A 13,670-nucleotide genomic window follows, 5' to 3' on the forward strand; every position below is an offset into this window, starting at 1 on the left:
AGTCTTGTCTTCTCCAAAGGATACATTCTAAATTAAAAAAAAAAAAATAAATAATGTACTCACTTGTCATCTCTTTCAAGACAATGGACTAAAATGGGCAATATTCCAGATTTTATTAAGTCATCAATTGGTGGATTTCGATCACTGGACAAAAGCTTCCTGTAAGAGATAAAAACACTCCTGTGAAACTTAATAACATACAATATTATGATTAAATATAAATTCATATTTGACAAATATTAACATAAATCTGAATATTTGGTACAAGTGCCTTCTCTGAAATTAACAATTTATATAATGCAACCTTTTCTCTAAATTTATAAAAAGATATACAAATTAAATTTATAGAGATGACAAATAATTAGAAAAATAAGAATGTAGATATGAACCACTTTACTACCTTTTTTTTTTTGAGATGGAGTCTCACTCTGTTGCCCAGGCTAGAGTGCAGTGGCACAGTCTTGGCTCACTGCAAGCTCTGCCTTCTGGGTTCCAGTGATTCTCCTGCCTCAGTCTCCTGAGTAGCTGGGATTACAGGCGTGCGCCACCACACCCAGCTATTTTTGTATTTTTAGTAGAGACGGAGTTTCCTCATGTTTGCCAGGCTGGTCTTGAACTCCTGACTTCAGGTGATCCACCCGTCTTGGCCTCCCAAAGTGCTGGGATTACCGGCGTGAGCCACGGAGCCTGGCCACTTTACTACTTTTAATGGTACAACATTATTATTCCCTCAGTAAAGTCCTGATTGTGACTTATAAAAAGAAAACTAATTTTTAAAAAATACATGTTACTTTTGGACATAATTTTGAGTTCAGAGAAAAAAATGGGCAGATTTCTTCAACACAGCTTTTACCTTGCTAAGAAAGGAATTAAGAGGTCACCAAAATATCCAAAATTATTCACACTAGGTCACAAGAGAGTCAAATGACAAAAGCAGGTAGTCTGCTGAAATATGTTATAGCTGATATTAGTCCCTAATTCTTCCTTCTACTTTACACACCAAATTTAAGGCCATAAAAGTTCAACAACATTTTCATCTCAGCAACTAAAGAGAAATGGAATAAGCACAGCAACTGATAGGAAAACAGCCAGAGAGATGCTAGAGAATCTGAGGTAAAAAAGACAGACACATCACTGCTCTCATGGAGCTTATAAGATAAAAACAAAACCTAGTGTCTATTTTCACATGTGGGAGACTACAGGTTTAGCTGATAAGTCCTCAGTGTGGCCTAATCATATCTTTACCCACTGGAACACCCTGTATTACTATATAAAAGCAATGTTTATGAAAGCTTAACCAAATCATTTCCCTATATAAACTATGTGATGGCTGCTTATTTACTACCTTTATCAATGTAAACTCCTTGACCTAGCTTTAAACTACTTCACAAGTTGGCTCCATCTTATAACTAATCTTATTCTGTGTAACTAAACAATAGGTTAGTTGTCTGTCACAGCATTTCAACTGAAATAAGACTGAACCTATCCTAAACCCCTCACTTGAAATGCCCGGTCTTCTATGTATTCAAACTCTATTCAAAGTCCATTTCAAGTTCTATGTTTTACATAACACCATCTTTGAATTTCAAGAGGATTTATACAGCATAGCCCTACGTTTGGTGCTATCACTACTTATTTTTTTTGAGACAGGGTCTCAGTCTGTCACTCAGGCTGGAGTGCAGTGGTGCCACCTTGGCTCACTACAACCTCTGCTTCCCAGGTTCGAGCAATTCTCCCACCTCAGCCTCCCAAGTAGCTGGGATTACAGGCATGTGACACTACACCCAGCCAACTTTTATATTTTTAGTAGAGACGGGGGTTTCACCATGCTGGCCAGGCTGGTCTCAAACTCCTGACCTCAAGTGATCCCCTGGCCTCGGCGTCCCAAACTGCTGGGATTACAGGCGTTAAGCCACCGCGCCCAGCCCCCTATTTTTTAAAATACAGTTTTGCCTTTCCAATTAGCTTATAAAGTTCTTAAAGAGAAAGAATTATACCACATGCTATTTCCTCAACACATGGCACAGTGCTTAGCATTAAGTGGAAATTTAAAAAAAAAAAAAAAACCACTTCGAAGAAGTCTTAACCCAGCCTTCTCAAACAAGGTTTCATGAGATCAAGGGTCAAAATTTAATTTAAAAAATTTTTTTTACACTTCACTGAGGATATTTTAGAAGAGAAATGTCTTTTATTCTTTACATAATGGTGAATAATATAATTTTTACAAAATATAATATAAAACCAGTTTGGTGCCACTGTCTTGATTTGCATTAAGGAGCCCGCAATTTTACTCACAGTTGCTTTGCAATACCAGTGTAAACATTAACACAGTGAAAAAAAGGCAAATGAAGTCTTAGAATTATTTTGAAAATCAGTTTGCTCTTGCATACCCATGAAATTGTCTTGGAATCTCCCAGTGATCCACAGATCATACTTTGAAAACCTCTTAGGGTACACTGGGCTTTAATTTTCTTGCAGATTGCATGTTGAGAAGAACTGTCCCAAAACTATCCAATATTCAACTCTGACAATGGTGAGCATAATCGATTTCTTAATCATTCTTCCTATAAACATTAATTTGCTATTTTGCAATGTGAATGGTTCTGAGATTTTTCTGCCTACATAAAGAATTCCTCTCTAAGAAGTTCTTTTACCTCTGGTACACAATACTGTAATTTTATAACTTCCCTATCAGTTCTAAGTTATTTAAGGTGAATAAACAAATACTGGAAAAGTCTAATAAATATAAAACAGATTCGTGCAGCACTGGATAAGGTATTGGATAGACCTACAAACTTTTTCCACTTTCAAATTCTGTAACTAGGATCAGTTTCTTACTTGTCTCTTTCCTACTGATAAACTCAACATAGGGTGTTATTCTTATATTCATAAATATACAAAGCAACCACTAAATTGCATTATGATACAACCATGTCTTCCCCAACCTATTTATTAATACAAAGGTCTCAGTAATAGATTTTTCTGCCTCTTCCCTTAAAATATGAGAGCATAGGTTTTACAATAGAAATGTGCAAAACAGGCAGGGTATGGTGGTTCACGCCTGTAATCCCAGCACTTTGGGAGGCTGAGGCAGGTGGATCACAAGGTCAGGAGTTCAAGACCAGCCTGGCCAAGATGGTGAAACCCTGTCTCTACTAAAAATACAAAAATTAGCCAGGCATGGTGGCGGGCGCCTGTAATCCCATCTACTTGGGAGGCTGAGGCAGAGAAATGCTTGAACCCGGGAGGCAGAGGTTGCAGTGAGCTGAGATTGCGCCACTGGACTCCAGCCTGGGCGACAGAGTGAGACTCCATCTCAGAAAAAAAAAAAAAAAAAGAAATGTTCAAACAACTTGGTATTTCCTACCTGGAAAGACACTGGGAGTGTATGCAGTCATTAATCTCTTTTTTTTTTGAGATGGAGTTATGATTCTCCTGCCTCAGCCTCCCAAGTAGCTGGAATTACAGGTGCCCACAACCATGCTGGGCTAATTTTTGTATTTTTAGTAGAGACGGGGTTTCAGTATGTTGGCCAGGCTGGTCTCAAACTTCTGACCTCACGATCCGCCCACCTCGGCCTCCCAAAGTGCTGGGATTACAGGTGTGAGCCACCTCGCCCGGCCGTCATTAATCTTAATCTACATCTACTTGTCTATGTACACTGACATAGTAACATTATAATTCTGGATTTATTGTTTGATCAATATGAGGATTGTGAGAAGAATTAAGATACCTGGTAAGGATCTGAAGAATCTGACTTTATAAAATTAAACCTATTCATTAGTAAAAGGTAAAGCTTTACAAATAATGTTTTTCTCTTACTCTATGGCATTAATTTGTTAAATCAACTTTCCTTGGCATCTGTATGCATTATGTATATTAAACCTTCAGTGTACACTTTCAACTAAAAATAAAAATTGTTTAAAAAACTGTCACCAATTTTAATATTCTAAACCACAGAATTAAAAAAATAAATTTAGTTGATCTATTACTATTTACTATTGTTTGTCATCAAGTTAAATTTGATTAACAGGGACTACTCAATAGTAAAAATTCAAAATAGAACCCCTGTGTAAGTTGTAAAATCTAAACATGTCTTCCAAATTCAACTTACCTAGCAGCTTGAACTGCACTTAATTGAATTCCTTGGTTATCACTTGAAGCATTCTATAAAAAATAAAATAATTTATGATGTAAATATATCACGATTAGCTGTTGAGGACAAGAAATGCAAATGAAGAGAGGGAAAAAATCCAACTTACTTGAACAATAGCTTCTAGAGAGGTATTTTGCTGGGAAAAAAGTTAAAGAGAAAACTCAGTTAAAAAGTCACCTTAAAATTCTCTTATTAATGTGAAATCTTTCACTCGTACTTTTAAGTTACCAGAATAACAATAACAATGACTTACCACTCTATAATCACCATCTATATCAGAGTCTTCACAGATATCTTCATGTGGTACATTCCTTCTCTTTAAGAGATGTTCATCTCTTTTATTCTTAAAAAAAAAAAAAAAAAAAAAAAAACCAAACAGAGAATTTGAGTTAAAAAGAAAACCTGAATACTTTCATACAAAGCTCAGGCAATCCTGTGCCTAAAAACTGAAATATGAAGTGCCTTTTAAAAGTAAAATTCAAATGTAAAAAATTAAACCAAACTGTGAATTAACCACTCACGCAACACTAATTTGAGTCCCAGTTCCCAAATATTACATTTTTAATGAACCGTGAACTATGTAAAAACAAACAAAACAAAACAAAAACAAAAGTTTGACTAAAAAATATAGTGTACAGTTTAAGCCAGAACCAAACACAAATATTTATTTAAAAGTACTAAACCATTTTATACATGATCTGGGAGCTCCTCTTTACCACCTAAAAGCAAAGTCAAAGCAGAAGTTGGGCAGTTCAAAGTTAGACAAAAACCAACAATGTCTTACAAAAATCAAGGGCCATTTCAACTTCACTTAAAATGCTTGGAGCAAATTTATAAATATATTCTCAACTATAATACTTAAAAGTTGAAGAAGTTTGCAACAAGTTCTTTTCAGGGACTTACTACTGCCCATTAATAGCAGAACTATTTAATACAACTGTATCTCAATGACTTATACTTTAAGTTCTTTATATCTGTTTTTGCATAATGAACAAGTAACTAGTTGTATCCTTTCAACTTCAAAAGCCTGTCAAATTTAGTCAAAATCTCTCCTTTTTCTAAAGAAAAATGCTTAGCAGTTGAGATTTTAAAAAGTTTAACTAAATTTAGTAAATAAAATTTAGTTATACAATAGGTTATACATTTTACCTAAAAACATAATATATATTTGGCATCTTGTATATAATGCTATAATGTTGTTAGAATTATGCTTAGAAGTACCCAATATTAATCAGACTCACCTTCCTTAATTCAACTACAACTTCATTTCGTTGTCTTCTCATAGTCTACAAAAAAATTAAAGGAAAATATTTTTAAAATCACCTCAAATTCCATTATCCAGAGAAAACCACTATTAACATTTCAATATACACCTCTAATCTTTTCTTTTAGCCATATGGATATAAAGTCAAATCTTACTCATAATAAAAATCATACTATGTAGATGATTTTCAATCTTCATTTCCCATTCATATTGCAAAACATGAAAAATCTCTTTGAAATTATTAATACAATATTGGCTATATCACAATTTTAAAAACTATAATATAAGGTTTATAAAAATACAGAGGTACAAAGAATAAAAGAGCCCATAATCTCACCCCTCATATGAACCGATGATATTACAAAAAATAACACACGTACAAGATTAGTAAATTCAACTATTTAAAAAAAAAAAGCGAAAAAAAGCCAAAGGAGCCCTCCTGCTCACCCACAATTTCCTTATCTCATAGAAAACACTGTTAGATTTACCATGATTCTGACACGTCTATCTATCCTGTTTTTTACCTTGTTTTGGTTTACTTTGTTTATAGAACTTAGAGATATTCCATGGTGGTGTATAAAGACCTATTTTATTATTTTTCATGGTCACCCAATTTTCTATGGCACACCATGGCCATTCTTTTACTTTTAAACATATTTTTCTCATTTTTTAAGTTACTTACTACAGGCATGTGTGTTCACTGTAAAACATTCAAATGTTCAGAAACAATATAAGTTCAATCTGTTTTTACATACAGGTTCACCTTATTCTTTCTAATGACTGTGTATTACGTAGCGGTAACAACTCAGAAAGTCATACTAGATGTCTAATAAATATCACAAACTTAAATCCAAAACTGAACTTTTGATCTTTAATACACTCCACCTGCCATCTCAGCAAATGGCAACTCCATCCTTGCAGCTGCAAAGACCAAAAACCTTGGAGCCATCCTTGATTATTTTTCTCTCACATTACATATTCAATCTGTCAGCAAATCCTGTTGGTTCAACCTTCAAGACATACAATCCAAACACATATCACTGCCTCCTCTGCTACTATTCTGGGCCAACGTACCATTATCTCTCAACTAGATAACTGTGAAAGTCTCCTAACATGTAGCCCTCCTGCTCTTACCCTCTGTCTTCCTCCAGAGTCTAGTATAATGACAGCAACCAGAGTAATCCTCATAGGAAGTCTTAATTTTTATGTGCCATGGACTCCTTTGGCAGTTTGGTATAATCAATGGATACTTTCTCAGATAGTGTTTTTAAATACAGACACACACACACACTATATATATATATGTATATATATGTATGTATATATGTATATATATGTATATATGTGTGTATATATGTACATATATATACATATTTAGTTACAAAGGAAACTATCTTGATACATAAATGTAAAAAAAAGAGCTGTAAATATAAAAAAATGTAATGTAAGTGCTTCTTTATTATCACATTAAATGGGATCTAGCAGTGGGTCTAGTAACTACTATAACTTCAAAGTAATGACGACCATAAATGCAACAAAGAGGTGATTTTTATTGGTGGTAACAGTCACAGGTAATTCTAATATTACTATGGTTAACTGGCTACATTGAGTGAAGGAAACACTGCTTCAGTTATAAGTTAGTGAAAATAAAGATGTAATTTCTTCTAAATTCCAGGGGCCCTCCTGAATTCTACCCATAGACTCCAAGGAAGGAAAGGTCCAAGGAATCAGTAAAAAATATTTTGTAAAAAGTCAGATCATATCATCCTCCTGTTCAAAAATATCCAAAGACTCTCACACGCTCCACTTCGGACTTAAAAGCCCAGTCTTTACAGTGGCTTACGTCCAGTCAAATCTTCCCACCTCATTCCTTCCCTAAATACCACTGCTTGGACCTTAGCTCCTACCATTATCTTCATTCATTCTGCTATACTCACACCAACTCTGCTATTTCTCGAACACACTGTAAAGTCTCTTGTAGCAAGGCCTTAACTAATACACTATACAGTAACTTCTCAGAAGATGGACTCCAAAGTCAAACTGCCTGGGTTCAATTTTTTTAGCCATACTACTTACTAGCTCTCTGCACTTCAGTTTCCTTATCTATAAAATTGGGATAGTAAAAACACCCTCTTTACAGGACTGCTGTTAAGGATTAAATCAGCTAAAATATGTAAAGTACTTAAACTGTCCCTGGTACACAGCAGTGTATGTGTTAGCTTAGTATTACTGCTGCTGCTATTTCCTCAGTTTGGAATGCTCTTCCCCTACTACCTGCAGTGCTCAGTTCCTTACCTCTATGGGAAGGCTTTTCCCTTCCTGACCATCTGCCAACTCTCTATTTGGGTACTTTCTCTCTCTCTCTCTCTTCCCTGCCTTATTTATCTCTATACCATTTATCACTTTCTAATATACTATGCAACTTTATTTGGTACAGATATAGATTTTTTAAAACACCAGGAGTCAATGTTAAAATAACAAAATAGGCTGCAAAATGAGTAAAAATAATTAGCTAAATACTACGGTAAGTGTTAACATCTATCTCATATAATCATTATAGCCTTATGAGGTAAGAATAAAACAACCCTTTATTTCTTTTTAAAAATAAGAAAACTGAGGCTTAGAGAAGTTAGATTGTTTGTCCAAAGGTGGCTAGGATTACAACCCAGACAGTCTCACACAAAGCCACTTAACCACTAAGCCATATTGTTTTCCACACTTCTCGAAGTCAGAGTTCAAGTGAATTGGAGAGCCAATGGTTCACACTAAAGCAAAAGTAGTATTACCAACACAATGAGCTTTGCATAATATCACAATATGAAATCAATAAGCAATTCTAGTAACAAAAAACTATGACCTATGTCTCAGGCACAGAAAACAATATCTGTAGGATGCATTACTTAAGACTGTTCAACAAATAAATAAGGTAGACTTCTGAGGGACTGGGTATTTCCAGTCTAAGGAAAGTTTTTATTAGCAATCACTTCATCTAAAGTAGGAGGATTAAGGTATAATGGGCTTTAACTTCTTTTCATTAGAGCATACTATTAAATAAATCCCAAACAACTACATACTGCATATTTACATAAATGTTTTGTTTACTCCAAAAAATTTTCTCCCATTATATTACATCTCATTTATTAAATCCAGAGATTTACGAAAAATTTTCTTTTTCTTTTCTTTTTTTTTTTTTTTTGGTGAGACGGAGTCTCACTTTGTCGCCCAGGCTGGAGTACAGTAACGGGATCTCGGCTCACTGCAACCTCCGCCTCCTGGGTTCAAGCAATTCTCCTGCCTCAGCCTCCTGAGTAGCTGGGACTACAGGCTCATGCCACCACGCCCGGCTAAGTTTTTGTGTTTTTAGTAGAGATGGGGTTTCACCGTGTTAGCCAGGCTGGTCTCGAACTCCTGACCTCATGATCCACCCGCCTCGGCCTCCCAAAGTGCTGGGATTACAAGCGTGAGCCACCGCGCCTGACCCGAAAGATTTTCTTTTTACTTGATACTCATTTGTTACAACAAAGTCTGGAGGTTTTTTGATAATTTGAAACTACTAATAAAGCATTTATCAAACCAACTTAGCACTGTAGTAACAACATAAGACCAGGCTATTACCACTTTCACAGAAACTTTGCAAAATAAGAGATTTGACAATCCCTTCATTATAGAGCAAGGGTTTTCTTTTCCTCTCCAAGGTAGAGAATGAATGAACTGGTAGAAAGACACCCTATGCACCACAGCCTGGCAGCATTTGGGCATGTTTTTTACTCCAAACAATAGTTGTTCTTCGGGACCCCATGAAAGGGATATATAAGACTTCTAAGCCTGTCCTTAAAGAGCAGGCTTTGTATACTACATGAAAATATATTAGTTGTGAATTCACATGACTTACACTGATGCAGTAAGCAGTGGTGTCAATTAGAATTCCAGAAAGCTGACAAACTGGCCAAAGGCTTATGTATAGGCCAGAGAGCTATATAAAGGACAGCGACTGTAAGTGGGGGAGGTTGAGGACTGTTGCTGCTATTTCCTCAAAGGAGGTGGGTAGAGTTTAGGCAGATCACTCAGGTATTTTATATTTCTTTGCTTGTCAAACAGTTATAAAATTATAAATTCAGGCAAAAGGGGATAAGAAATTGACAAAAAATTTTAAGCAAGTCAAAACAGAATGCTAGCTCTATTTAAAAGGAATGCAGTTTGTGTATTTAATGAACATTTACTATGCATCCATCACTGTATTAAGCACTAGGGACTAAACACTTACCCTGCTTTAATGAGGTGTAGATTCTAGTATTTTCTTTCCACTTAATTGCTCCTTAATTTCTGATTAGTGGCTACTTGATTCCTGCTAATTTTCAAGTCAGTTTTACCAACACATGGTTTTTCTTTAAAGCCCTAAAAATTGTTAGTTTAAAATATGACATAGTAATTACTGTACAATTTTGGATATTTTAAATTTTCTTGAGCAAAGTTAGGATTTAGTTAGGACTCAATCTCACTAGAGAAAAATGTTAAAGAAAATTCTTTCTAAATAATACAAAGATAAGAAATACAATGTCTTCATTTTATTTCACCCAGCCTGACTTTCATTGATACCTTGGGAAGGTTAATACTTAGGTAACAGCACTACCAAAAAAAAAAGAAAATAAGAATTAAAAAATTTGTACAGGCACGAGAGATCTTCTGTGTGGTGACTAGGATATATTCTAAAACTGAATTGTGATAATGGTTGCATAACTATGAAAATTTACTAAATATCATTGAATTCTACACTTAAAATTGGTGAATTTTATGAGAGGTAATAAAGCGGTTTTTAAAAGTTATATACGCGCACACACACACACACACACACACACACACACACGCCTTCCCTCCCCAACATGAGTTAACAGTATTACTAATTTAGAGACTCCTGGAAAGCATTCATTCAAACATTTATTAATCACCTAATTGCCAAGCATTAGAAATACAAAGATGGACCAGACACTGCATATCTATGCCCTTAAGGAGGTAGCACTCTTCTGATACAGAAATATAACTTAGTAAAATAGTAATAAGGCCCAAACTTAGCAAACAGCAAGTGCCAAACACCATTCTAAACATGTTACTTGACTGTACTTATTTAATACACGTATTAATAACATGCACACAACGCACTCTGACAGTAAAGAGGGTAATTACTAAAGATAACATGTAAGCTTAATTTTTAAGACTGAACGGCAATCCATTTAGAGAAAGGCATTCCAGGTAGAAAATATAGCATGTACAAAAAGAGAGAACTATGAAAGATGGCATGTGTGGAATCTGCTGAAGAATATCAGAAGCCAGAAATGAACAGGTAGGCAAGGAGACAAATCAATCACATAACATAAAGCTAAGCTATACTTTCTAGAGAAAAGTGAGTTACTGGTGATTTCAACCCAAATTATCATCACAACCCAAACACATTTGGTAGGTAAAACAGTTGTTCAACCCGATTACATGGTGAACCAAAAGCTAAAACAGCATAACTAGAAAAGTATGTTTTCCTATTTCTTATTTCTCTCTCTCTGCAGCAGCAACCATCATGGTGCTTATTCATGCCTTTGTCAAATAGTATTTATGTTGGCAAACTGCATGTAATTAGCAAATAAATTACATTATGACAATAAAAGGGAAAGTTTAAATGCCTAACACTGTTAAATGCTTACTCAAGTGGGTCAATAATTAATATCTCCTAAGGATAAAAACCCATATTACAATCCTTCATTTAGAAAAGTTCATTTAAGAAGTAAGTTTAGTTCAAATTTTCAATCTGTAGATTTATTTCTCACAGGTAGCACTTATTAACACTAGTATTAAAGGCCTGAAGTTCTACTAGTGATGGGCAAAAGTCTTCTCAAGCAGAATCAAGTTCTTATCTCTTTAAGAAGTGATAAGATTAATGGACACTGAGCATAAGTGAAGAGAAGTCTGAAAATACATTGAGTGTAGGAGGTCAGACTTAATCTAGGCAAGCTATTGGAGCAATATTAAGAAATAATTCTAGTCTATAGATTCCATACTTTAAAATGATCCATATCTAAACTGTAAGCATTGAAAATTTATTAGTACATAAATATAATTTTTAAAAATTGCCAAAATGTAAGAAACTGTTAGGTGTTAACTCCAAAGAAAAGGATTAGAGTTTCACTATCTCTTCAACATTCAAACAACAGGAAAATGTATTAAATTAAAAAGTTATACATGTCTATTTGGAAAAGTCACAAAATAAAGAAGGGAAAAATCTGAATTCCCAGAGTTCTCTATATTCTTCTATCTTTTGCACGAGGTTACATATGATAGAAGAGAAAATAAATGCATACATCTCCTCCCAGGATGATTTCCTAGTATATGGTTATACTACTCTACTAGCATATGGCTACTAGTCCCAGCTCTACCTTTAATGAAATCATAGGCAAGTCACGACCTTTACGGGTATTAATTCCTTCACTTGTAAAGAGAATTCAATGGATCTCTGAGATCTTTTATGCCTCAAAAACTGTATCATTTTTTTCCCCCGAGACAGAATCTCACTCTGTCACCCAGGCTGGAGTGCAGTGGCGCGACCTCAGCTCACTGTAACCTCAGCCTGCTGGGTTCAAGTGATCCTCCTGCCTGGAGTAGATGGGACTACAGGTGTGCACCACCAAGCCTGGCTAATTTTTGTATTTTTGGCAGAGACAGGGTTTCAGCATGTTGGCCAGGCTAGTCTCGAACTCCTGACCTCACGTGAATCACCCACCTTGGCCTCCCAAAGTGCTAGATTTACAAGTGTGAGCCACCATACCCAGCCAATTTTTTCAACTTTAGAAAACAATGTCAAAAAATATGTAATTGTCATTTGTAGTTACTATGCATGGCAATGTAGTTTCTATGCTAAGAATCATGAAAAAGTCATAACTCAAAATTATAAACAAGAGCTATTTTGTGGCTCTGGTACAGTTGCTTGGTGTTTTCATATCTTGCACTTCTCTTGCCTTAAGTTATGCTGTGATGCCAAAAGGACATGGGAATCCTTGACCTTTTTTTTTTCCCAAGATGGAGTTTCGCTCTTGCTGCCCAGGCTGCAGTGCAATGGCGCGATCTCAGCTCACTGCAACCTCCGCCTCCTGGGTTCAAGTGATTCTCTTGCCTCAGCCACCCGAGTATCTGGGATTACAGGTGCCCGCCACCACGCCCAGTGTGGCGTGGTATTTTTAGTAGAAACGGGGTTTTATCACATTGGCCAGACTGGTCCTGAACTCCTGACCTCAGGTGATTCACCTGCCTCGGCCTCCCAAAGTGCTGGGATTACAGGCATGAGCCACTGTGCCCGGCCTCCTTGACCTTTCAATAGCTAGTTTTGGTAGCAGAGACAATTACCAAACTGTGTGTGTGTGTTCATGTATATGTGCGCACTGGCAAACAGATGGTGTTCAACAGGGAAAGAAAAGAGGTTAGAAATGACCATAGGTTTGGTGAGACACATATAACCTTCTCAGGGTTGGGAAACACTGCAAGATAAACTTTCAGAATCACTTATAGAAGGCGACTGAGGACAACCTATAAATAAATCTACTCTAGTAAACAAACACATATATAAGTTTTATATGAGCACAAAGGAAGGTACTCTAAGATTAATGGGTTATAAGGGAATTGATCAAATGCTACCAAGAATGATCACTTCTCTTCAAACTCCCTGCCAAGATCATGCCAGCATGGGTGACAGAGAGAGACTTTGTCTCAAAAAACAAAAAACTTTGAATCCTTAACAGAAGAAATAAAATTTCACAAACTGTTTGAGTGACTTGAAGAAAACTCAACTCATGGGAAAAGACACTGAGAAAAATTACCGAAGAAGAGTAAGAGAAGAAATGAGATATACCCAAATTAAGAAGGTCAATAGAACCCAAGCTTTTATATTACTGCTTGAAGGAATCTGATTTCTCTGCTGATTTGGTGCATTTTCAGATGAGAAAAATAGTTTTTTTTTTCCCATTTACAAAACTATACCAAATGTGTAAGCAAGAGAGATTGAGGAACATTTTCCTTCTATGTTATAAGAACATAATAAACTCAAACTCATGGTTTTCTTACGGAAAAATTTAAGCAAATAGTATTATAGGATTTTGTAACTGGAGAGAATAGAAATCATTTAAACTATTTCATTTTATGGAGAAAGGAACTATGGCCCAGCGACTTCAAGAATACCAAAGCTTAGATATCCTGGATCCAGTCCAATATTCTTTA

At 35.6% G+C, this 13,670-nt stretch overlaps 1 protein-coding gene across 1 annotated transcript in view; it reads right to left on the reverse strand.

Moving 5' to 3' along the window:
• The window catches only part of KPNA4 (karyopherin subunit alpha 4), a 70,565-nt gene that overhangs the window by 36,392 nt on the left and 20,503 nt on the right, over positions 1-13,670 (reverse strand). The window contains exons 2-6 of the mRNA NM_002268.5: positions 5,398-5,442; positions 4,410-4,499; positions 4,263-4,292; positions 4,115-4,167; positions 64-159 (exon numbers count right to left, since the gene is read on the reverse strand). Coding sequence (NP_002259.1) covers positions 64-159; positions 4,115-4,167; positions 4,263-4,292; positions 4,410-4,499; positions 5,398-5,442 — 314 coding nt within the window. The remainder of the gene's footprint in view (positions 1-63; positions 160-4,114; positions 4,168-4,262; positions 4,293-4,409; positions 4,500-5,397; positions 5,443-13,670) is intronic.

This window comes from Homo sapiens, chromosome 3, assembly GCF_000001405.40.
Source record: "Homo sapiens chromosome 3, GRCh38.p14 Primary Assembly".
Taxonomy (NCBI): domain Eukaryota; kingdom Metazoa; phylum Chordata; class Mammalia; order Primates; family Hominidae; genus Homo; species Homo sapiens.